The following is a 26,877-nucleotide window of genomic DNA, read 5'->3' as shown; positions in this document are numbered from 1 at the left end:
ATGATCAGAAGGGGCCAGAAGAGCCACTGACAGGGCCTCAGGGAATGGGAGTGTCTTAGTACAGCCCCAGGTGGATGTCTAACCACCTGTGCAGGGAGACCTTGCGCCATGTGAGGCCTCAAAAGCAGGGAGGGGGACTTGAAGTGGAAACGGAGTTTTACAAAAGTAGAGTTGTGTGCTGGATTTAAACTCACGACACCTGTTTACATCTCTTCTCCACTGGATTAAAAGTTCCTGAAGGATAAAACTCCACATGTCATATTCCTTGCTGTTTCATCAACACTTATTTCAGAATCTAGTAGGCAGCAGGCAGTCAAAGGATGTTTTTTTAGTTGAACTGAAACTGAGTTCTAAAGTCTTGCCCTTTTAGACCATCTAAAAATATTTCAGACCACAGATCCCAGGATTTTTCTTTTCACTCTTGCCATGACCAGTAAATCAACATCCTGGTTGAGACTACGGTTTTTGCAGAGGCTTTGAAGGTTGTTAATGGAGCCATCAGTTGGCCAAAGGACATGAATTTTCCTTGTCCTTCCATAAGGAAGAACTGACCATTGACTTCTGGGAAGAACCATCTGTCTCCACTCGCAGAAGAGATAAGGGTTTCCTTGTCTGACACCAGGAGGTACATTGTGCAACAAAACAGTAGTACAATATCTGCAGAATCCCAAGCAAGGGACAGCAACATCCAAGGGTCTTTTCTTCCCTTTCAACTGCAGAGCAAACCACAAAAATACTATAATGCCTATTGAAGGACAGGGTTACCAAAAAGTGCTCAGATTCAAAGGATTCAAAGAGGTGTCTTTGTTATGTAATTTTCCCCTACTTCTTGGCATTCATCGCCCATTCACATTTTTGTTATACGTCAGCAGTAGTGTAGTGTGTGGGAGCAGCAAGCGCAGCACATCAGGGTCCACATCACAGTGCCCTCCACACCTTCTGACATTTACCCCAAATGACAACAAAACGCCAAATCAGGTCATCACGCCATGTCCAAAAAAGCCTCAGTGGTTGGGGTGACCAGGGGGCAGGCTGCTGGGGGTGAACACAGATTCCACACTCATGCTGGACCGGGCTCCCCAGTGTCACCAAGTGTCCCTGAGAGACTGGTGAGTGCTAGGTGCTCTGACATCTTGTATCCCAAAGCCCCTACTCACACCTTTTCTTTTTCCTTCACCGACCCTGCTCTCCTTCCCATCCTAAATCCTCACCTCTTGAACCATGCCCTTCCACTGCTCCACTGCTGTTTTGACCTCAAGTACCTACAACACTTTCCTTTTGTGAAGTTATTTGGCCATTTCTCCACCCTCATTCTTTTCTTCTGCAGTTTTAAACTTGTTTTAATTTTTAATTAGGCTGTATATGCAGAAAGGTCAAAATTGTTCAACAAGTTTCCCTCGCAGCTTTGGCCATCAATTCTCCTCCTTCTGTGGCCGTTACTGCTAATCAGTGTTGTAGGCTGAATTGGGATCTTCCCAAAAAAGATATGTGGAAGTCCCAACCCCTAGTATCTGAAGGTGACCTTATTTGGAGACAGTGTCATTACAGAGGTAATCAAGTTAAAATGAGGTCTTAGGGAGGGCCTTAGTTTAATTTCTTATAAACTAGATTGGGTTCTTATACAAAGGGAAAATTTGGACAAGGAGACACACAGACACACACAGAAGGAAGATTATAGGAAGACAGAGAGGACGGCCTTCTACAGGCTAAGAAGAGAGGCCTCAGAAGGAATCAACCCTGCTGACACCTTGATCTTGGACTTCCAGACTCCGGACAATATATTTCTGTTGTTTAAACCACCCGGTTGTGGTACTATGTTAACGACAGCCCTAGCAAACTAATACAACCAGTTTCTTGTGTACTTGTATCACCAGAGATAGCTATGGATCAACAGGGTTTTACAGTCATTTTTTGTTTGTTTGTTCTACTCACATGGTGGTCTACTGTGCACATGTACTTGGCTATACTTTTTCCACTTCACCAGATCTCAGTGATAATGTCCTATCAGTTCATACAGACTACTTCATCCTTTTAAATACATGCACAGTCAGCCAGGCACGGTGGCTCACGCCTGTAATCCCAGCACTTTGCAAAGCGAGGTGGGCAGATCACCTAAGGTCAGGAGTTTGAGACCAGCCTGGCCAACATGGCGAAACCCCGTCTCTACTAAAAATACAAAAATTAGCCCAGTGTGGTGGCCCATGCCTGTAATCCCAGCTACTCAGGAGGCTGAAGCAGGAGAATCGCTTGAACCTGGGAAGCAGAGGTCACAGTGAGCCCAGATCGCACCACTGCACTCCCGCCTGGGTGACAGAGAAAGATTCTGCCTCAAAAAACAAATACGTACATATATACATACAGACATGCACAGTCTTCCATTCTATGGGTGTTCCATGTCTGCTTAGACCCCAGTGGATGGGAATTTAGATGATATTCCTAATTTCTTGCTACTGCAGAAATGCTTCAAAGACTAACATTGTACATACGTCATTTTACACATGTGCAAATACATGTGCAGGATTAAATCCTCAAAGTGGAATCACCCTATGAAAACGTCGCTAAATTTCTCTCCATACAGTTATAGCAATTTACACTCCTATGAGCATGTAGGTTTCCCACAACACAACATCCTCAGCACGGTGAATAATCAAACTCTGAATGACGGCAAATCTAGCAGTGAAAACTGCTATCTTGTAGTTATTTTGGGTAAAAAAGTATTTCTTTTTCTTTTAACACTATTTGTAGGTGTTAATCAGTTTTCTATTGGCTTATAGTCCTTACTGATATTAAGAAATATTTGTGCTATAAATTGTAAATAATTTCCATAGTTGTCATCGATCTTTGAATATTACCTAAGGTAACTTTTTTCCATGCAGGTGTACTTGAATTTTCCCTTCTCCTTTTGTTCCTTCCTTCCTTTTTTCCTTCCTTCCTTTGTTCCTTCCTTCTCTCCTTCAATAACTATATAATACAGAACCCAAATACATCACCCAACATGGAATTTTACCCAACAGATTGGTGGTTTCCAGATTTTTTTTTTTTTTAGACAGAGTCTTGCTCTGTTGCCCAGGCTGGAGTTCAGTGGCACAATCTTGGCTCACTGCAACCTTTGCCTCTCAGATTCAAGTGATTCTCCTGCCTCAGCCTCCTGACTAGTTGGGATTACAGGTGCGTACCACCATGCCCGGCTAATTTTTGTACTTTTAGTAAAGACAGGGTTTCACCATGTTGGTCAGGCTGGTCTCAAACTCCTGACCTCGTGATCTGCCCACCTCGGCCTCCCAAAGTGCTGGGATTACAGCTAAGAGCTACGGCACGGCGCTTGGCCAGTTACCAGATTTTTTTAATTTACAAAGCACTAAATTAAAAGTGGGGGGAGGGTCTTTTTATTTTGCCAGTAATTACCTAATGTTTTAAAATAATTTATTGTCACAATCATTTGATTAAGAAAAAATGTTTTAACTTCAGAAAAAGTAAGAAGGACATAATCTCAGGTTGATTATAGTTTATTTTCTGAAAACAGTACAGTCGTCCCTTGGTATCCATGGGAGACTAGTTCCAGGAACCCCCCTGGATCCCAGAATCCATGGATGCTAAAGTCTCTGATATAAAATGGTGTTGTATTTGCAGATAACCTTCACACATCTTCCCATTTCTAGATTACTTACAATACCAAATACAATGAAAATGCAATGTTGATAGTTGTCATACTGTTTTGTTTAGGGAATAGTAACCAAAAACCTCTGCACTTGTTCAGTACAGATGCATTAAAATTTTTTTGTTTTTTGCTCTGCAGTTAGTTGAATCCAGGAATGCAGAACCCATGGATATGGAGGGCTAACTGTACATTGTCCTGCTTTATTTGTTTTTATGGAAGCTGTTGAAAACTTCATTGTTCAGGGACTGGCACGTGGAGACCATTGCTTTGGAGATTTTTTTTTAAATAAAAAAATGTAAACAGCTATTCAGGTCAGGTCACCATTAAAAGGACCAAGAGACAGGCAGGTTTCCTTACTCATGCAAACGCTATCGGAAGTCTGCCCAGATCTCAACACATTACCTATATATGGTATGCATGTTGCATACACACCATACAGGATGCTGTACACATGGATACTAGTCCCGTGTACATCTATAATACACATCTGGGTGGCAAGACAGTAGCCCTCTCTCTCCCCTGTGTTAAAGTCACATACACATGGAAAATGCAGTATGCAGCTGCTGAACGGAGCCTTTTCTGCAGGCAGGGCAGACTTCCAGCGCTTGAGTATCTCCTCCTAAGGCAGCAGGATCAGTGTATGCCAGGCGTCATTCTTGGGGTGTGAAGCAGAACCTGCCACTGCTTTTGGAGGCGCACACTTCCAGGTGGAAGGGGATCTGAAAGGATGTAAGGAAACGGGATCCAGGGATGACTAGGTGGAAGGTGCGCTATTCTAAAATCCCTCTGCCTTTAAATTGCTTTTCAAGCAGGACGGTGGTTTTGTTTGCTTGCTTGTTTGTTTTACCACACTTACCATCTCACAGAGAGAGGACACAGGAAGAAAGGGAAGCCCAAATTGCTGATAAGGACCAAGGAGATGATCTAGACGGGGTAACCCCTTGGTAGAGGTTGTACACAGCCAGGACAATAGGGACACGGCCAGTGCCCTTGTGATTCAGGGGAAGGAGCACGGGCACCAACAGGAGAGTGGTGGACTTCAGGGGGCAGCCGGTGATTTCAGAGCCAGGCAGCTGGAGTCAGAGGCTCGGGAGCTGGAACGGATCTTGGTATCACCTTCTCTCGCTGCTCATTTTGCTGAGGCTGAGGACAGGCAGGCACAGGAACAGCCAGAGGGACCCACACTGGCCAGTCCGTGGTGGAGTCAGACACAGTTCCAGCCTCTAGCTCAGGTCCCACTCCATACTGCCTCCCTTGGGGACCTGCTCACTCCAGCTCCTTCATGACACTGTTCCTGGCAGAAATGATGTCCTGTGATTAAACCTTCATGCCCATGGCTCACACAGTCTTTGTCCAGGTCCCTGAGCCCACACATGTGTGAACAGCCATTGGAGAGAATCCTTGTAAAGATTCTTGTTTTCCAGGACTTTGGAAAGCAGTTTCTCAACCTACTTGTAGTATATCATGGACATGTATCTTATCCTTACGTTTCCTGATAGATATTTTATTTTCTTGGCTTTGGCACCTGAATCAGTGGTTCCTAACCCTTTGTGTGCTCTAACCTGTTTGAAGAACTTGATATAATCCAATAGTCAATAACAGAAAGTCCCACCTAGTGGGGCAAAGTGGTGGAAAGGCCTTTTGTGATTTGCAGACCTATCTCCTCCCCCACTGCAATTAAAAATCAGTATTCTGAAGTGTAGTAGAATATGTGTCTTATTCATATATCACACATTTGAACAATAATAGGAAATGTGTCTTATTAGTGTGCCCAGGATTTAGCACATAGTACTAGGCACAAAGTAGGTGCTCAGGAAATGTTTGCTGAATCTATTTGAGTGGTAGATGAGCAAAATATTCATTGAGTGAATTGATGGATGAATAGACATGCAATTTTAGATGCAATCCAAGGACAATCCACCCACCCATTTAGTAATCGGGTAGCACCTCTTCATCCCAACAGCTGAGGGCTGGGGCAGAGATGTCTGGGGGAAACATGACCCTCTCCCCCAAATATCAGTATTTCCAGGTTCTGGGTTCTGGGCTGTCTTTTCCTGCCCATGACAAGTTGCTTGACTTCTCCAAGACCTGGATGACAGCCCAGGCTAAGAGGTGAGAAGCCTAGAGAAGATGAGAGGTGTCACTGTGAAAACAAAATCCTGGGCTGCACTGGTGTGTGCACCCCCACACTTGGGCAGCCCAAAAATTAATCAACCAGGAAGGGCTGCATCTGACCGCATCTTGGGTCAGCGTTTGTAGGGTTCTCTGGAGGCTGAGGTCATTGGTGTCTACTGGCCTCTCATCACCACTGTTTCCATGAGTCTTCCTCATTTGAACCCCAGGCCCCACTCCTTCTGTAGTTTTCCAGATCTGTCCCTTACCTGCTGTATCTGAAATCTACAGGTGAGGGAAGCCCCAAAGCCCATCGCTGGTTTTCTCACCTAAATTGAGCCTCTCCATCCAGGGCAGGAGTCCAACATCCTGGAATCCCCAGGCCCACCACTGCCTTTCCATCAGGGGCCTCCTGAAGGGGATCTGTCCTGGCAGAGAAAGGTCCTCTCTCCTGGGCTGCCCTGGGCCACAGATCTTCCTCACCTGCATGTGTTGGGAATATTTATTTCTAATCCCACTTAAATGCAAGACACTGGCTTTTGAGAAAAACACTGGTTTTATGAATGCCAAGTTTCATTCCTCACAAGCCTTCTCTTCTTTGCCACCTGGCACATGCCCACACATCGTCTGTGATCTCACACAAACGTCTCTCCCTAGAGAAGTCTTCAATGGCTCCTCCAGACTCACCCGTGCCCTCTGTGCATGCTACTGGGACAACTGGAGGCTGTGATGAGACATTCCACATGCAGGCCTGCAGCCCCTCGCACTGTACGTGCCTGGCCATGCCATTCATCTCTGTATCCCTGTGTTTGGTATAGAGCAGGAGGCTCTATGTTGGTGAAGGAGGAACATTTTTGTTGCTTTTTACATCTCTGTCAGAATTATGTCCCTCCCTCATGAAAAATCAATATGGGAAAGACGTGGTTTCAGACAACACATACCTAAAGGTTATGCAAGTAAAGCCAGGAAATACCTGCAGCCTTTCCATGCAATTAGGAGTTGGGAGAAGCTCCTTTTTTGTTGCACACCTGGGGCTGAGGATGAGCGCTGCGGCCACCAACAGTCAGGATGGCGATGCATAAGGACTGACCTCATGGGAAGTTGGCTGGAGCAGCACGTGACGGCTGTGTCCAAGACTTTTAGCTATGGACTTTGCAGAAATAAGTGAAGGTCATGCAAATGAAAATATGCTTATAGCTATAGAAATGTTTATAGCTATGATAAGAGGTCTGGCAGGGGCAGTAGGATAAAACCACGAATATGGAAGGAAGCCAGGAGCGTAGCCTTCCTTACAACCTCATGCCTACCTAGTGGTTTCTGGAAGTGACTTTCATCCTAATGCTTACTCCTCCCCCCACAAAGAACAGTGTAACTTTTTCATCTCTAGTCTTTCATCAGTATGGCAAAAAGAAACTCATGGACATGCCCTGCTGCATTTTGTTTATACTGATACAAAAAGCCCTAGGCCTTCACACATGCTTGCTTTAGACATCTTCTTCCCATTGGTTTTCTTCAATATATACAGAAAGCAGTTTTGCTTTAGAAAGTATCTGGACCATTGCCTTGCCTATAATCAAAAATACTAGAATGAGACTTTGGTCTAAGATGAATAATACTATAATAAGTGTATGAAAGAATGATGTAAATGCTTTATTTTTAACACTTTTAAAAGAACCAAGCAAATGCAGGGAGCCAAAAGCCCCCTGTAGATCACTTATGACACAGCAGATGGAGGGAATACCTGGACCCTCTGAACACTGTTCCTTCTACCTGCACCCGCTGGGAAAGGATGAACTCTCGCTCACTTCCGGAAGACCGGGTTTGGCTGAGTGGACAAGAAAGTTGGACAGTATTTTTGAAGGTCTGTTGGGAAATTATTATTTGAACCCAGACTCACTGACACATAGTTGTTTGTATCGAATTTCTTCATGCAATCCCTTGTTAGAGTTCTCTAAAAAACACTCAAGTGGACAAAGGCGATGACTTACCATCCACATCCTTCTTCCAGGCTGTTCTTCAGATCTCCTGCGCCCCTCACAGAGCTGAAGGTCCCTAATCCCATGCCTTTTCTGTACCTGATACTTCCCAGTTCCAAACTCACGTTAATTTAGATAGCTGAGTCTGAGTGAGAAAATACATGAGATTAAAAGAGAGAATTCCATAGGAGGAGGGAATTCATGGGTATAACATTTGCAAAGCCAAGGAATAATAGTAATAGCAAGGTATAGTATTTACTCTCTGCCAGGCACTTTTTAACACTGTTACTGTCCCCTCTCTACAGATAAGCAGACTGAGGCAAAGACAGGCCAAGTAGATTGTTTAAGTAGAATTGTTTAATTGTTAAGTGAGCCAGGAGGTGAAGCCAGGTGGCTGGGTGTCCACATTCAACTCTAAAGCAATCCCTGCCTCTCTGGGGTAGCAACATAAAGACCAACAGCCTTAGGAATGCAATGAATGGGACAGGATTTGTTTCCCACCTAGTTGAAATGACAAAGACTGAGAATTTCAGCCCCAGAAGGAATTTTTGAGTCATTTTCAGGTTTTTATGAGAACTCTTCACCAAGTAAAATAATACAAAATCATCAATGCATGATTGCTTGTAGCTCCACCAAGATGGAGCAGTCCCACTCCTCCAGGTCCTCCTCTCAAGACAAAAAATGCCCTGACACAACACAACAAATGCACTTGGGGAGACTGACAAGGGGCCGCTGCCTAGGAACCTGGGAAACCACACGTGGTGTTGCCTCCCAGTATCCCAGGCGCAGCCACAGAGCCTCCCGCCAGACCACCACAGGCACAGACTCAGAAGGCCCCAGGCAGGCTGGCATGCTAAGCCTCGGGCCAGGAAAGCTGAGCTAAGGACAGAAAACCTTTTGGCAATGCCACCCCTACTCCAGTCAAATATCAAGAAAAAAAAACAAACCACTCCTACCTGTGTCGGTGGCCTGGCAGGTGCTGATTTTCCACCTGCCCCCTCTACCACAGAGCAGGTGGTGGCCCGCTGTGGTGGGGTTGAGCAGGGAGCTCATGGTGCACCCTCTGCCCGGGGACACAAGTGAGACACACAAGTCTCCCTGCCATGGTAGAGTCAGGGGGTCCAGGGTGAGTTGAGCCTCTACTCCCATGACGGAAGTCAGCCCTCTGCTTCTCACTCCCCAGGGTCAACAGAGCCTAGCAAAGAGCTGAGCTGAGCTCCTGAACCTTGTAGGCAATGAGGTGGTGTGAATTAGTGCCCAACTTCTACCCAGAAGGGGTCAACAACGAAGAAAGGCTGAACCTTTATCCCCTGCAGTCCAAGGAGGTGGTGTGAATTTGGCTTGCTCAATGTTCACACTGGTACTGGCAGGGCTCAGTGGGAAGATGGACACAGTCACCCACCTGGCCCTTGTGCTACCTCCAGGGGCAATGCTTGCTAAAAAAGATGATTGGATAGGATGTAGAGGCTCATAGCCTAATATCCAAAAAGGCTAGGCTACAACTGAAAACTCCACAAAAGCCAAGAACCAGGAGACCACAATTTGAATGAGAAAAGGCAATATCAGTTTTTGGAATGTTCTGAAAAGAACTTTAAAGCAGGCATCATAAAAATGCCTCCACATGTGGTTAAAATTCTCTTGAAACAAACTGAAAAAATAGAAAAATGCAGCAAAGAAATAGAAATTATTTTTTAAAAGAACCAGATGCAAATTACAGAACTGCAAAATAAAATAACTGAAATGAAAAACAAGCTGGAAAAAATAATAGAGTGGAGACGACAGAGAATAGAAACAATAAACTTGAGGACACGTCAGTGGCATTAACCCAGTCTGAACAACAGAGAGAAAATAGACTGAAAAAAAATTTAACAGAGGTTCAGGGAACTGTAAGACAATAAAAAGAGTTAAGATTTGGGCCGGGCGTGGCGGCTTATGCCTGTAATCTCAACACGTTGCGAGGCCGAGGCAGGCGGATCACCTGAGGTCAGGAGTTCAAGACCAGCCTGGTCAACATCGTGAAACCCTGTCTCTACAAAAATACAAAAAAACTAGCTGGGTGAGGAGGTGCATGCCTGTAATCCCAGCTACTTGGGAAGTTGGGGCAGGATGATAGCTTGAACCCTGGAGACAGAGGTTGCAGTGAGCCAAGATCACACTACTGCACTCCAGCCTGGGCGACAAGAGCATGACTCTATCGCAATAAAAATAAAAATAAAAAATAAAAAGAGCTAAGATTCAAATCACTGAAGTTAAAGAAAAAGAGGAAAGAGAGGGTGGAACTGGAAAGTGTCAGAAGAAATAATGTCTGAAAATTTCTCAAATTTGGTAAAAAATATAAATGTGCTGCATGAGTTTCCTGTGCTGCCATAACGAATCACCACAAACCTCTTGTCTTAAAAGAGCAGAAATGTGTTCTCTCACAGTTCTGGAGGCCTGAAGTCGGAAATAAAAAATCACTGGACCAAAATCAAGGTGTCTGCAGGCTCCGAAAGCTCCAGGGAAGACTCCATGCCTGGCCTCTTCCAGCTGCAGGCTGTTGGTGTTCTTGTTTGTGGCTCCGTCACTCCAGCCACTGCCTCCATGATTACATTGCCTTCTCTTTTCTGTGTTTTCTCTGTGTGTCAATTTTCTCTTCTTTTCTTTACAAGGATACCTGTGATAGTATTTAGGGTCCACCTGAGATAATCTAAGATTACTCCTTTATCTCAAGATTCTTAACTTAATCACATCTGTAAGACTCCCCACTCCCACCTTTTTTTGGTGACAGGGTCTTACTCTGTCACCAGGCTGGAGTGAGTGGTGCTCAATGTAGCCTTGACCTCCCGGGCTCAAACGATCCTCCCACCTCAGCTTCCCAGTGCTGGGATTACAGGCATGAGCCACGATGCCTACCCGAAAGACCCTTTGTTTTTTTTTTTCATATAAGGTAATGTCCACAGGTTCCAGGGATTTGACATGGATATCTTTTTTTGAGGGGGGGACTGCATTTGTCAGCCCACCATGCCTACAGATTCAAGAAGCTTGAATCCCAAATAAAACCCAAAGTCCCTAACAAGACACAACGTAATTAAACTTGTGAAAACTAAAGATAAAAATCTTCAAAGGAGCCAGACAGAAATGACACATTACTTAGAGGCAATAAACAATCTGAATTATAATTTATTTCTTGCCTGAAATAATCAAGACCAAAAAGAAAATTTTAATATGTAAAAGTCAAAAGCATAAAACAGCAGCCCTGCTCTTGTCAGGGGTAGGTTCTGGGTGATACCCAAGCCTCACCTAGTTACCTACCCATACAAACTCTCACCAAGACTGTTTCATGACTCCTAAGTCTTAGCCAAGGATTTTCACAAAGGTATGCAAAAATGTTAAATTTTAACGGTCTCATGTTTTTCAAGATCTGTTATTCAAAATTACCTTTATTCACTGTCTAATAGATCAACTACCTCATATTCATGATCTGACCAAATGACTTAAGCAGTGAATATGGAATTGATAGGAACAACACATTGGGCAGTGAGCCTAGTGCTTCTCAAACTTTTTTTTTTTTTTTTTTTTTTGAGATGGAGTCTCCCTCTGTCGCCCAGGCTGGAGTGCAGTGGCGCGATCTGGGTTCACTGCAAGCTCCGCCTCCCGGGTTCACGCCATTCTCCTGCCTCAGCCTCCCGAGTAGCAGGTACTACAGGCACCCGCCACCACGCCCGGCTAATGTTTTGTGTTTTTAGTAGAGACAGGGTTTCATCGTGTTAGCCAGGACGGTCTCGATCTCCTGACCTCGTGATCCGCCCGCCTCGGCCTCCCAAAGTGCTGGGATTACAGGCGTGAGACACCGCCCGGCCACTTCTCAAACTTTAAAATGGAATCACCTGAAGCTCTTCTAACTCAGTTCGTCAGGGGGTGTGGGAGGAGCTGAGAGTCCACATTGCTAACAAGCTCCCAGCTGATGTTTGTGCTGTGGGATCTGGGACCATACGCTGAGTAGTAAAGACCTGAGCACAAGGCCACTTCTGTGAGTTTATGATCAGTGTATGCATATGTATTAACGCCAGTAAAAGGACAGGATCTTTGAAATTAGGAAAATCTGGTTTTAAATACATTTTGCCCTTTCCAGATGACTGACCTTAAAAAAGGTATCTACCTCTCTGAGTCTGAGTTTCAACATATACCCAATGAAGGTATTTTAGTAATTGACTCATGACACTACCTGATTTCAATGCTTACTATAAAATGACCATAAAAATAAACATATTGATCAATGGAACAGAATACTGTTCAGAAATACCAGCACTTACATCTTCCACTGATATTTTAACTTTTGAAATAAATATTCACAGGAGGTTGCAAAGGCAGCACACAGGTCTCATGGATCCTTAACCCAGTTTCTCCCCCATAGTCACATCTTACATTATTACAGTGCAATATCAAAACCAGGAATTTGACATTGATACAATGTGAGTGCATAGTTCTGTGTCGTTTTAGCACATATGTAGATTCGTGTAGCTACCACGACACTCAAGACACAGAACTATTCCATGACCGCAAAGATACCTTTGTGCTAGCCCTCACTACCAATCTGTTTCCTGTCTCTGCAATTTTATAATTTCAAGAATGGTATATAAACAGTATTATACAATGTGTAACCTTTTGATATTGGCTGTTTTTCACTTAGCATAATGCCCTTGGGATACTTCCCGGTCATTGTATCCATAGTTCATTCTATTTTGCTGCTGAGTAGTACTCCATGGTATGAATTTGCTCCAGTTTGTTCAGCCATTCACCTATAAGGGACATTCTGGTGTTTCCGGTTTTTGGCTATTTACAAATAATGCTGCTGTGAACAATTATGTACACAATTTGTGCAGACATAAGTCTCCATTTCTCTGGGATAAAAGCCCATGATTGTACACTAAGTGTTGTGTGTGTGTGTGTATGTATATATATATACATATTTTTTTTTTTTGAGATAGGGTCTCACTGGAGACTGGAGTGCAGTGGCACGATCTCGGCCCACTGCAACCTCCACTGCACAGATTCAAGTGATTCTCCTGCTTCAGCCTCCCCAGTAGCTGGGATTATAGGTGTGTGCCACCATGCCTGACTAATTTTTGTATTTTTAGTAGAGACAGGGTTTTACCATGTTGGCCACGCTGGTCTCGAACTCCTGACCTCAAATGATCCACCCACCTTAGCCTCCCAAAGTGCTAGGATTATAGGCGTGAGCCACCGTGCCCGGCTGCTAAGAGTATATTCACTTGTTTAATAAGCTGCCACAATGTTTTCCATAGTAGCTGTAGCATCGGGTACATTCCCACCAGTAAGGTATGAGAGATTCGGTTCCTCTTCTACAGCATTTGGTGCTGTCACTATTTTTTATTTTAGCTGTTCTAATAGGTGTGTAGTGATATCTTATTGTAGTCTTAATCTGCATTTCCCTAATGGCTAATGATGTTGAACATCTTTTAATGTGTTTATTTGCCATCTGCATTTCTTTTTTTTTTTTTAGGGGACAGGCTCTCTCTATGTTACCCAGGCTGGAGTGCAGTAGCACCATCATAGCTCACTGCAGCCTGGAGTTCCTGGGCTCAAGTATTCCTCCAGCCTCTGCCTTCCAAAGTGCTGGGACTATAGGGATGTGCCACCATGCCCAGCCATTGACATTGTTACTATGTTATGTCTTCAAATCTCTGATCATGAAATAGCTCTCTATTTCCATCTTGTTTTCCTTTCTTCCATTAGCATTTTATAGTTTTCAGCATGCCAGTCCTGTAAATGTTTTGCTAGATTTAAAACTATGTATTTCTCCCTTTTTATTTTGAATTATTGTTAATGGTATTGTATTTTTAAATTTGGTTTCCACGTGTCCATTGTTAGTATACAGAAATACAATTGATCGCTGCATGTTGATTTTGTAGCCTGTAACTCTATGGAATTCACTTATTAGGTCTAGGAATTTTTATATACTCCATGAAATGTATTATTTAGACAATATCTACTGCAAATAGGACAGTTTTATTTCTCCTCTTCTAATATGTATGGTTTACTTTTCCTATCCCTGCCTAATTGAGCTGGCTACATCTTCCAGTTCTGTATGGATTTGCAGTGGTAAGAGTAGAAATCTTTGCCTTGTTCTCAATCTTAGGGATAAAGCATCCAGTCTTCAGCATTAAGTATGATATAGCCGTAAAGTTTTTGTAGATGCTTTTTAACAAGTTGAGAAAGTTCCTCTCTATTCAGTATATTTCTGAGGGTTGTGTCAATAATGGGTTTTAAATTTTGTAAAATGCTTTTTCTGCAACAATTGATATAATCATGCGATTCTTCTTTAACTTATTAATATGGTTATTTTCAAATATTCACCCAGCCTTGCATCACTAAAATAAATTCCTCTTTGTCATGGTATATAGTTGCTTTCATATACTATTGCATTATATTTGCTAACTTTAAAAGGATTTTTGTATCTAAATTCATGACAGATATTGGTCTACGGTTTTCTTTTTGTACTGCGTTTGTCTGGTTTTAAGAGCAATGTAATACTGGCCTTACAGTTTGAGTTGATAGATTTCCTGAAAGAGATTGTGTAGAACTGGTATGAAACTATGTGGGCCTACAGATTTCTTTTTGCAGAATTTTAAATTTATGAATACTCTAAGTATTACATTACATATATGTAACTTATCACCATATACTGGTGCCAACACTTTACCACTTCCCTCCTTTACCACTTTCCCTCCTTTGTCAATTTACCCTTCCCCATTTGTAATATATTTGTATGAAATCGTTCCCTAATAGATTGAGAACTGCATTAGACATCGTTACAATGTTTTGCTTTAACGATCAAACATGACTTAGAAAACTCAAAAGAAAAAAAATCTATTGTATTTACTCATATTTTTATTTATTTTTTATTATTCCTCGATTTCCTACATTCTTCATTTATCATTTTCTTTCTGTTTCAAAAACTTCTGTTAACAACAAATTCTCTTAATTTTTCTTCATATGAGAATGATTTCCCCTTCACTCAGAAGAAGATTTTCACTGGATACAGAATTCTGGACTGGCAATTCTTTTGTCTGTACTGGAAACATATTGTATCACTTTACCCTCATCTCCATGGTTTCTGACATGACATCTGCTGTCATTCTAATTGTTTTTCTCCTAAATATAATGTATCACTTCTCTTTGGCTGCTTTCAATTTTTTTTCTTATTTTTTACTTTCTATTGTTTGACTAAGATGTGTCTTGGTGTGGATTTCTCTGGTTTATCCTATTTGAAATTTTCTCAGTTTTATGAGTCTGTAGGTTTATGAGTTTTGCCATTTGAAAAATTTTCAGCCACTAATTCTTCTAATAATCTTTTGTCCCCACCCCCATCCTCTTATTATGTGCCTATAATGACATGAATATTATATTTTTCCCTATACTCATGTCTCTGAGGATTCATTTATTTATTTGAAATATATTTTCTCTCTGTTGTTCAGTTTGGGTAATTCGCTTGTTCTGTTCTCAAGTTCACTGATTCTTTCCCCCTCTACTCTTCATTTTGCTGTTGAAGTATTCCTGGTTCTTTGTATAACATGTACATTTAAAATTGATAGTTAGACATTTTGGTTATTATGTTAGGAGACTCTGGATCTTATTTAAACTTTCTGTTTTAACTAGCTTTCTTTGACACTACTCTAGCAGGGGAAGGAGAAGTTCTAGTGGGTACTTTTTTACTGTCCAGTGGGTAAATGCCCAGGTTTACTACTTGACCTCCATTGACGCCTGAAGGGGTAGCTCCTCTGTACTGTGGGGTATTAGTGAGAATGCCAGCTCCCACCAAGGCTACACTAATATGCCCCTGCCTGTGAAGGAGTGGGGCATCTTATCACTGCTCATGTGGCATCCACTAAAACTGTAAGTGGGTGGCCTTAAATGCCACTGAGCAGTGGTGAAAGTTCTGACTCTCATCTAGGCTTCCTCTGCCACCACCCCCCAGCAGGGAGAGGGAGAGTTGCCTTATCAACACTAGCTGAGTGAAGATGGACGTCTAGGCTCCCTGTGTGGTGTCCACTGACACTGTGGTGGGAGAGGAGGGCTGGCTTCCTGTGGGCCCTCTCTGACAGCACTCTGGTAGGGGAGGAAGGGTTGCGATGCGAGTGTGGAAGCCTGTGCTCTGCATTCTATATTTGCTGGTAGGGGTATGGATGGCACCTCAACATTTTTTCTGTAATGTGTGGCGAGAGTAGAGTGTCGATGATCTAAAAGTTTTTGGTTTGTCAAGGTTGCCCCTTTCCTAGTCTTACGGCTAGAGAGAAAACTTTTCTTAGACTTTTGTTGTTATCGTTCTGTGTCCAGTGGTGTTTCCAGGTTGGCAGCTTTTCCACTTTCCAGTCCGAGGTATATGAAGTAAAAAGAAAACTCGTCACCATGTCATTTTCCAAATTTTAAGCTGTACTTATCAGGAGAAATCTAGAAATATACCCCTACTCCATTATTACAGTCATCAATTGGCTGAGATTGATTGATCAAAGAAGTCAAGGTAACACAATAGGAAAAATATGGACTTTCCTGGTGCTGAAACATAATATCAAAATGAACGTAAAAATCAGAATGAACCTTGGCCTTTACTACACTATATACAAAATTAACTCACAATGAATCTTAGACCTAAATGTAAGAATTCCAACTATAAAAACACTTGAAGAAAAACTAAGATAATATCTTTTTTCTATAAATAGAGAGATGGGGTTCCACTGTGTTGCCCAGGCTGGTCTTGAACTCCTGGGCTCAAGTGATTCTCCCACCCTGACCTCCCAAAGTGATAGGATTACAGGCATGAGCCACCACGCCCATCCTAAGATAATATCTTAGTGACTATGGATTTAGCAAATATTTATTAACTACAATATAAAAGTCCAAGTTATAACAGAAAAAAATTAATAAATTGAACTTATTCAAAGTAACAGTTTTGCTCTTCAAAGATACAGTAACAAAAATGAAAAGGTAAATCAAAACCTATATCCAACAAAAAATTTGTGTTTAGAATCTATAAAGAACTCTTATAACTTAATTTGAAAAAGACAAGAAACCCAGTTAAAAATGAGGCCAGGTGTGGTGGCTCATGCCTGTAATCACCACATTCTGGGAGGTCAAGGCAGGCAGATCACATGAGGCCAGGAGTTTGAGACTAGCCTGGGCAACATGATGAAATTCCGTCTCTACTAAAAATATAAAAAGTAGCTGGGATTACAGATGTGCATGGTGGTACACATCTGTAATCCCAGCTACTCAGGAGGCTGAGGCATGAGAATCACTTGAACTCAGGAAGCGGAGGTTGCAGTGAGCCAAGATTGCACCACTGCACTCCAGGCTGGGCAACAGAGTGAGACTCTGTCACGCATACACAAAAAAGAGCAAAATATTTAAGCAAAAAACATATGCAAATGGGCTACGAGCACATGAAAAGATTCTCAATATCATAAGCCATAAGGGAAATGCAAATAAATACCGCAAGGAGGTACCACTATATACCCCCTAGAATGGCAAAAATGAAGTTTGCCCATAGCCACGTGTGAGCAAGGATGTGAAGCAACCAGAACTCTCCATATATTGCCAATTGGAATTAAAAATAAAACAATCACTTTGGAAAACATTTTGGCTGCTTCTTAAAAACTTAAATATACACCAACCATATGACCCAGTAATCCAACTCCTAGGCACTCACCCAAGAGAAACTAAAGTATAGCTCAAACAAAGACTCACATACAAATATTCATAGCAGCTTATTTGTAATATTCCTAAACTGGAAACAACCCAAATGTCCATCAGGAGCTGAAAGGTTAAATACATTTTTATGTATTCATTCAATGGAATATTACTCAGCAAGAAAAATGATTGAACTGTTGGTGTATGCAACAGCATGGGTAAATCTCAAAATGATTACGCTGATTTTTTTTTTTTTAAAGAAAGACCAAGGCCAGGTCCAGTGGCTCACGCCTGTAATCCCAGCACTTTGGGAGGCTAAACCAAGCAGATCACCTGAGGTCAGGAGTTCAAGACTAGCCTGGCCAACATGGTGAAACCCTGTCTCTACTAAAAATACAAAAATTAGCCTGGCGTGGTGGTGGGTGCCTGTAATCCCAGCTACTCAGGAGGCTGAGGCAGGAGAATCGCTAGAACCCGGGAGGCGGAGGTTGCAGTGAGCAGAGATGGCACCATTGCACTCCAGCATGGGTGACAGAACGAGACTCCATTTAAAAAAAAAAAAGACCAAAAAAGAACTATGTATTATATGATCCCATTTATGTAAACTTCTTAAAAATACAAACCAATCTATAGTAACCAAAGAAGGTCAGCTTGCCTGGGAAGAGGGGGCATTATGAGGGAATATGAGAAAACTTTTGTGGATGATGGATATAGTTATTATCTTGATTGGGGTTATCATTTCATCGGCCTCATCAAATTGTGTAATTTAAATTTATGCAGTTGGAATCAGTCAATTATACCTCAATAATACTGGCTGCAAAAAAGCTCATGGATTTGTGCTGAGGATTAAATGAGACAACATGCAAAGCAAGTAGATAAGTGTGTCATTTGGTTTTTCTTCTCTTCTTCCTCCACCTCCTTCTTCCCCCATCTCTACATTTGAAATTAAGTGACTAAGGTGCAAAGAAGAACGTTTCCCCTCCTTCTGCGTGGAGCTTGACAGAGTGTTCTGAACACCACAGATATTTCCTCAAAGCTGAGCCCAACTGTAGCAGTGAGAGCACATTCATTATGTTGGTTTACAGTCAGAGTCACAGAGTAAGGAAAACATTGCTGCTAGGACTTTCATTGAAGTTTTTTTTGTTTTGTTTTGTTTTGTTTTTTTGTTTTTGAGACAGAGTCTTGCTTTGTCGCCCAGGCTGGAATACAGTGGCGCGATGTCGGCTCACTGCAACCTCTGCATACCAGGTTCAAGTGATTATCGTGCCTCAGCCTCCCGAGTAGCTGGGATTACAGGGATGCACCACCATGCCCACTAATTTTGTATTTTTAGTAGAGACAGGGTTGCACCATGTTGGCCAGGCTGGTCTCGAACTCCTGACCTCAGGTGATCCACCTTCCTTGGCCTCCCAAAGTGCTGGGATTACAGGCATGAGCCACCAGCCACCAAGCACCGCCACACTGAAGTATTTTAAAGGACATTATAGCCCCCTTTTTCTCACTGTTGATTCCTTTCTGCTGACTTAACTACATTAAATCCTTGTCTTCATTTTTCTGTCCATCTCTACATCTACTCTATTGGGTTCTGTTGGGATTTGTCTTGAAATCCTTTATAATTCCTAATTTCTGGTCTATTTTTCATGTACTTGTCACAAGAGACTTTAAGCAAATTAACATAATTTAAAAATATAGTGCTAATATTGTATTCAAAGACAACAGCCTTTTTGACAATAACTGTTCATTATTCTCTTTGTCTAACTTTGTCCTTCCCTTCCTCTAGTTCCCCTTTCTTTCCTGGTGAATCATTACATAAATGTGTAGATGCACTCTGACAACTGTGGAATATCAGCATGTGGGTGGGAGGAGAGTGACTCACGGCCTATGAATAGTGAGTTCTGAAAAGTCAGATGCATGGTGCACAGGTGGGAGTTTAATCAGCATTACTGGAAAATGATTCAATCTGATTAACTGGACTTACCAGGTAGAGTCAACCATCCACAAACTTTTGTTAATCACCTGCTTGAGATCAGGCAAGCACTGTAATAAGCTCTTAGGAGATGGAACTCATAAATGCTTATAGAATCTTAAGATGTTCATGTTACCAAAGAGCATGCACGTTAAAAAACAGTTTTAATTCTGTTTTGCACCGTCTGACACCTGGACGTTATAGCTGAATGGGATTTATTATGACAGAATTCCTCAGCAGAATCCAGTAGTCCTATGGATCCTAAACTAAAATGTGTAACCCCATAGAGGCTCTGTGTTGATTTTGCAAGGAATTCCATTAATTTGACAGTGTACTATATCGCATACCCCTTGGTAAAGCCAGTGTAGGTACCTGACCTGGTTATAATATTTATTGTTTAAATTGTTTACTTAGCTAAGTAAATTGTTTAAGTTACTTTTCTGAAGGAATAACAGGACTATCCAAGACCAGGCTTACTTTAGACCGTATCTTAACATTTCTTTTAAAAGATGGATAAAGGCTATTCCATCTGAGCAAAGACTTGTGGAGAGTCTTTGGTTTATCTCGTTATAAAAAGTCATTCAAGAATTCTATGTGGATTTCTTTTCTTTTTTCTTTAAGATTTTTTTTTCATCTATAGAGACAGGGTCTTGCTTTCTTGCCCAGGCTGCTCTCAAATTCCTGGGCTCAAGCGATCCTCCCACCTTGTCCTCCCAAAGTGCTGTGATTACGGGCACGAGCCACCGGACCCGGCCTCTATGTATATTTCCGAAGGTGGTCTCAGGTCACCTGTGACAGCATATAATTCAACTGGAATGCCATCTAGATTTTATCTATCCTAATGTAATTGAAAATGTTTTGGCTTAGAACAGTGTCTTGTTACTTACGGTAATGACCAAATCCTTTGGCATTTGCTTAAATCATTTAGTGACTGTGTGTGTCAATGTTATGCTCCACACCTGTTGCTCATCTTTATACAAAAGAGATGAGGATTAATTGGACAGCTCTGGGAGAAAGGCCATAAAAGCAGCCTTTAACCCTTGAGGACAGAGTGGCATCTTCATTTCTGTAGGCACCCAATCAATATTTGGTGAGGGAATGAATTGGCAAACATATGGGCCACAATCACAACTATGATTTGCTGCCATGATCCTTCCAGTAGCCTGTCTTCATGGTGCTGTCTGGGGTTAGCCATCTTTTTGTCCTGTCCCCAGGCACCAAACACAGGCTGATTTCATTAGCTGTAGCTGCCTATTCTCAGATTCCACATTTCCTTTAAGGCCCATGAATGACAGCAGAAGTTCTAAGGCACAAAAACAAAAAAAAAAAGAGAAAGGGAAAATGAAAAGAATAAAAACTCAAAGAAGGACCATGAGGAAGGAGAAAGAGGAAAAGAACAGCAGAGACAGGGAAAAACAGGGTGACTGAACTAAAGAGACTGGTAGGAATAAAGGGGAAGACAGGACAGACACTGCTTGGAGGATGAGAAGTTGGAATTTTCCCAGGGGGTGGAAGGATGTAAAAGTCAGGGAAGAGACTCAGGAGAAACCACAGATGACCAGGGCATTGGGAGCAGCCCACTAACTCCTGAGCAGTTGAGGGTCCCTGGCTAGCTCTGCGTTTCAGCCCTCACAATAGAGTGGACAAATGTGTCCTCTTTGCCTTAGATGCCACTTACAGTCTGACCCAAATGAAAGAGAGAAGAGGAATGAGACTCTTTCCTCTTGAGTTCTGTTTTACCAAACCTTGGCTCACAGCCCAGATCTTGGAAATAGGCCATCTCTGATCAAGCAGTGCAGCCTGCAGATGAAGAACAGATCTGGGCTTGGCTCAACTAAAAGGGCACAAAACAAAGGCAGTAGAAACCTGCAAAAAACAAAAACAAATCCCAGACCCCAAACTGCCCAAACCATTTCTTTCAAGTAGTTCAGAGCCCTGCCCCCTGAGGATAAATTCAGAAAGAAGCTCCGTGGCTCCTATTTCAACTCAGGAGCCACTGGCCTGCCTAAAGTTTGCCCAATTAGTGGTGAAAGTAGAAAAGGACATTAGGGGTCCTCAATTCTAAGCTGTGTTAAACTTTTTCTTTAATCTTTTTGCCTTCATTTTAAAAAAATTAATACACTCCGTCACAAACTCATGATTGGTTTAAAATCACCACTATCACTTACCCACTTCATGCAAAAGCTTGGAGCATTTTGAGAGATCATCCTAAGTGTCTGTCACCACCAGGCAAAGACCTCATGGAACATGCAATCTAAATTATTCAAGTGCTCGGTAAAGATGATGCAGACACTGTGCTGAAAATCCCATGTGGGCAGACAGGCTCCAACTCTGCATCTTCACACTGCTTCTCCATGGAGGAGGGGAGATTCATTCTTTGAATTAGTTGCCGCTGAGTGGGTCAGAGCTATCATGAGACCAAATTCTTGATTAAAGGATGAAAAAGGGGAGAAAAAGACATGCTGAGTGAATGACCAGCATAAAGAAATTTTATGCCTTATGAAGATTTGACCCTCTGAGGTAGATTTAGATGCTCAAGTAATTGATCAACATTTGGTTTGTGACTTTATACTGGTGTTTTTATGCCTTATATTGTCAATTTTTTATCCAATGTAAGTGTCAAATATATGCTTTTCTTGCCCTACTATTACGCAATTCAAGTCAACTCAGCAAATGTTTATTGACTCTCTCTTCCCTGTCCAAACTCTGTTGTGCTGAATTTTTTTTTTTTTTTTTTTTTTTTTTTTTGGCGACTGTTTCACTCTTGTTGCCCAGGCTGGAGTGTGGTGGCACAATCTTGGCTCACTGCAAACTCCGCCTCCCAGGTTCAAGTGATTCTCCTGCCTCAGCCTCCCAAGTAGCTGGGATTACAAGCCCCTGCCATCACACCTGGCTAATTTTTTATTTTAGGAGAGACAGGTTTCACCATGTTGGCCAGGCTTGTGTCGAACTCCTGACCTCAGGTGATCCACCCGCCTCGGCCTCCCAAAGTGCTGGGATTACAGGCGTGAGCCACTGTGCCCGGCCTGTTGTGCTGATTTTTGTGGGGAATTAGAGATGAATATAAGAGGTTCTCTGCTTTCAGGGTATCGGAATGGCTTTTTCTCTTTTCTACTGCAAATTTCTAATGGATCAAAGTAAGAGTTTAATTTAAATGAAGACCAAGAAACAAGATGGTGAAACTTTAAACTTTTCTGTTAGTAAGAGACCCTAGAAACTACAGCCCATTCCAACCAACGTGATATTTGGTTGTGGTGCCCTGCTGGAGCCCTTGCTCAAGTCCCAGAAGCTGTGACTGGCATTGTGGACCGGCTCACCCAGTATGAGCTCTCTACGACAGTCTCTCCTGCCCACCAGAAAGGGCCGCTTTTCTGGTAGAGGACATGTTCACCTGTTGGAGGGAGCCTAGGGGAAAGCTTTGTTGTTAACAGAGCAGACACTGATGGTGCCACCCACTCCCAACTTTGTGCTGCCTGCCATGCAGTTTCAATTCCCAGAGTGTGTCAGTCATCTTGTGACTGTGAGACAAAGACCAATGGAATGACAGAGATATAAATTGTGCCCTGGAGAGGCTAAACCCCTGCCAGCAGCTATCAATTTTCATATTCCTCATTTCCTGAGAAAAGGAAATCCTAATTGGTATAAGCAAATTTTTAAAGGCAATGTTGTGTAATGGTTAATGACAGCAGCTCTTGCACAAGACTTCCCAGATTCAAATACCAACAGTACCACTTACTAGCTGGGTCAGTTGGAGCAAGCTACTTAATCTACCTCTGCCTTGATTTTCTCCTGTGCAAAATGGGGGTCTCTTGGGCTTTGAGGGCTTTTCTGGAACCAAAGTGCCACAGACAACATTGCTCCATTGGAAAAAACCATTTCAATTCACAAACCACCATGGTGTTGTTTGCTTAGCTTCAGAAAAAAACACCAATGAGGAGACGTGGGTTTTGCCACATATTTCAGATTAATTCACACAAGAAAATCTAAGGTGGCTATGGTCATATTATAGGTATTAATATCAATATTGGGTACCATGAGTCTATATGTGCAGCCAAGTTTTCTTTCACTTTAGCGATTTAAAATTGTAATATTTTAGATATTATTAACATTTCCTCCTATTTTCCAAAACAATTTTATATTGAAAAATATAATAATGTAAAAGTGTAAGTTCTCCATAAATTTAAGACAGAGTAGGGACAGGGCTTGGCTTCAACTCACGCCCACTAGAACATTCTTTCATGCACTCACACTGATCACAAAACCCACACCACCACTTCACTACTAATAGTCGTTTTACTTAAAGAATTCCAGGAACTGGCCTTAGGAGATCCAAAATATGGAAGCAAGGTTGTGGAGTGTCCCAGTACAGGAAGGAATGTTGAACAATTGATTTATAACCTTGTTGCCACCAGCCAGACCATCAGGTGGCCCGTTACTCAAGATAACCATCACAACCAGATATGCTGACCTGTGTACCCTACCCCTCACATACTGTGCCCAACCCAGCCTACATATCTATCCCTGATGTCAATTCCCATCCTTTGCCAAAAAAAAAAAAAAAAAGCCCTACTGGCTCTTTTCAGAGAGTCAGCCAGATAGCGCTCTCTCTCTCTCTCTCTCTCTCTCTCTCTCTCTCTCTCTCTCTCTGGTGCTGCCTCCCTTATGCACCAGCATAAGCTCCAGTGAAGCCTTGTCTGGGAAAACTCTCTGATCTCATGTCAATTTCTATTGCATTGGGAGACCAAGAAGGTGGGTAACAACTGATCTATGCAATCTCAATAAAAATCCCAATGAGTTTTTTAAAGGACATTATTAATACAATTCTGAAATTTAAGTGGAAATGCAAAGAACTAAGAATACTTAAGATACGCTTTAAGAAGAATAATGAGGGGAGAGTTTCCTCTTCCACCTATCATGATTTATTATAAAACTGTAATAGTTCAGTTGATGGCATGATATTGTTCCCAAGGATAAACAAATAGACTCATGACAAATGGAACAGATAGCCTAGAAACAGGCCAGTGCATATATTAACCCTTGATTTTTGAAAAGGTGGTACATCAAACAATGGGGAAGAAAACGATATTATTTTATATAAATAGTGTTGGGTCAATTGTATTATTTACCCTTTTGAAAACAGAATTAAAGTTGACCTTCTCACATAAAAAAATCAAGCTTAGGTAGATTGTAGACCTAAATATAAAAGGCAAAACAACATATTTTCAAGGAGGTAATAAAGGAAAATATTTTCACAGTCTTGAGTGTAGAGAAAGATTTCTTAAATAGGACACAAAAAGGGCTAATCATAAATAAAAAGATAAATCATTCAAATCACATTCAAATTAAGAATGTCCATTCCTTAAAAGGCACCATTAAGAGAGTGAGAAGGCAAGCCACAGAGAGAGAGAAGATATTTGCAATTCATGTAATCAACAAAATACTCAGATCTAGAATATCAAAAGCATCCCTAACGAATCCATAAGAAAAGATAGACGACTCTATTGAAAAATGAGCAAGTGATCCAGAGATTTCTCAAAAAATGTACTGTCCTAAATGGGCAATAAATTTATGAAAAGTTTCTCAATCTTGTTAGTAGTAATTGGGAAATGCAAATTAAACTACAACGAGAAAGACGGCCAATCACAAGTGTTTGGTGAGGATGTGGAGCGCACTGTTGCTGGAGCACAAGTTACTGCCACTTTGTTTTTTGTGTTTTGGGGGCGATGGAGTCTCACTCTGTCATCTAGGCTGGAGTGCAGTGGCGTGATCTTAGCTCACTGCAACCTCTGTCTCCTGGGTTCAAGCGATTCTCCTGCCTCAGCCTCCCAAGTAGCTGGGATTACAGGTGCGCATCACCAACATGCCCGGCTATTTTTGTATTTTTAGCAGAGACGGAGTTTCACCATGTTGGCCAGACTGGTCTCAAACTCTTGACCTCAAATGATCTGCCACTCCAGCCTGCCAAAGTGCTGGGATTACAGGCATGCACCACCATGCCCAGCTAATGTTTCACCATGTTGGTCAGCTAGTCTCAAACTCCTGACCTCAAGTGATCTGCCCGCCTCGGCCTCCCAAAATGCTGGGATTACAGGTGTGAGCCACTGCACCTGGCCAGTTACTCTCACTTTGGAAACTGTCTGGCTACATTACTGGAGTTGGAAATAAGTATCACTATGCCTAGGGTGACCATATTTTGAGAGTGAATGTAGGCTTTTACCAGATAGGACAACAGGCATAAATTGGGATTGTTCCAAGCAAACTAGGATGTGTGCTCACATCAATTGTGGTATATTCTCTTACCCAGCAATGCCACTTCTAGGAACGCCAAGACACAGGCCCAAGCAGACACAGAGCAGCATCTTATGTAAGAGCCCCAAACTGGGAACAATCCAAATGCCCATCCACTTAGAGTGTATACATAAATTGTGGTGTATTCATACAGTAAAACATTAGACAATTAGGAATACATCAGCTAGAGATACATGAAACAATATGCTGACTCTCACACAGTATCGAGAAAAAAGTGAGATACAAAAAAAGTGCATGTTGTATAATTTCAGGCAACATAACATAAATCATAGTGCGATAAGTCAGGATAGTGTCACGGTAGCAGACAGTCTAATGCCTTCCCTAAAAGATGTCCACACACCAATCCCCAAAATCTATGAACATGTTACTTTTGAGGAAAGAGCTTTTATCTGAGTAATGCAAGTCCTTTTAATTATCAGGCTCAGAGAGACCTTAAAATGAGGCAGCAATTGTGTCTTGCTTCCCCCCATGAGCTTCCCCCCATGTTCATCTCATGAAACTGCTTGCTATTGCCACAAGTAGCCATAAATTAACCCAATAATGCCACACCAGACACTATAACACACATCCTAAAGCTTAACAATGGATAGCCAATCACTAATCAATGTTATTCCTGTAAACCAATGAGAATTCCTAACAAACAACTTTGTATCAGCCCACTTCCTGCCCCACTTTTTTGCATTAAAAAATCCACTAGTAACTGTGGCTGTTCTGAGTGTATATTCAGGGCTACTTGAATCCAGGCCCTCAAGCTTGGCCCCAAGTGGACTTTCCACGTAATTTTGCATCAGCTTCTTCCTTTCAGGCCAGCACCTTATATGGCAAAAGGGACTTTGCAGATGTGATTAAGGTTGAAAACTGTGAAATGGAGAGATTATCCTGGACTATCCCAAGGGCCTAGTGTAATCTCAAGAATCCTTAGAAGAGAAATAGGGAGGCAGGAGAGTCAGAACCAGAGATGTGACAACTGAAGTCATGTCAGAGTGATGCCTTGTGAGAAAGACTTGACTGACCATCGCTGGCTCTAAAGACAGAGATGGGGCCATGACCCAAGGAATGTGTGTGGAGTGTGGAAGCTGGAAAAGCTTATTCCCTAGGGCCCCAAGAAGGAACACAGCCCTGCCCGCACCTTGATTGTAGACCCATGGATACTATTTCAGCCTCCTGAC

The 26,877-nt window shown here is 42.2% G+C and overlaps 2 long non-coding RNA genes across 4 annotated transcripts in view, besides 2 other annotated features; one reads left to right on the top strand and one right to left on the bottom strand.

The window, feature by feature from the left end:
* The window catches only part of LINC02250 (long intergenic non-protein coding RNA 2250), a 122,536-nt gene that overhangs the window by 14,284 nt on the left and 81,375 nt on the right, over nt 1-26,877 (top strand). The gene's annotated exons all lie outside the window — the stretch shown is intronic.
* Nucleotides 512-1,076: an enhancer, noted in NCBI's record as "OCT4-NANOG hESC enhancer chr15:25808594-25809158 (GRCh37/hg19 assembly coordinates)". NCBI's record gives its function as "activates a minimal SCP1, AML or CMV promoter by ChIP-STARR-seq in naive H9 embryonic stem cells {active_cell/tissue: H9 hESC(naive)}" and the evidence as "EXISTENCE:reporter gene assay evidence [ECO:0000049][PMID:30033119]".
* LOC107984789 (uncharacterized) lies at nt 3,491-9,437 on the bottom strand. Its single transcript, XR_001751756.1, has 2 exons — nt 5,584-9,437; nt 3,491-4,377 (listed from the first exon to the last, which is right to left on the bottom strand). It is a non-coding gene; the product is annotated as an uncharacterized LOC107984789 (long non-coding RNA).
* Nucleotides 18,828-20,027: an enhancer, noted in NCBI's record as "CDK7 strongly-dependent group 2 enhancer chr15:25789643-25790842 (GRCh37/hg19 assembly coordinates)". NCBI's record gives its function as "activates an origin of replication core promoter dependent on BRD2, BRD4, P300/CBP, MED14 and CDK7 cofactors, with strong dependence on CDK7, by STARR-seq in HCT116 cells {active_cell/tissue: HCT116}" and the evidence as "EXISTENCE:reporter gene assay evidence [ECO:0000049][PMID:35650434]".

This window comes from Homo sapiens, chromosome 15 (genome assembly GCF_000001405.40).
Source record: "Homo sapiens chromosome 15, GRCh38.p14 Primary Assembly".
Lineage (NCBI taxonomy): Eukaryota > Metazoa > Chordata > Mammalia > Primates > Hominidae > Homo > Homo sapiens.
Note: the sequence above shows the minus strand (reverse complement) of the source record. Positions and strands in the feature narration are given on the sequence as shown.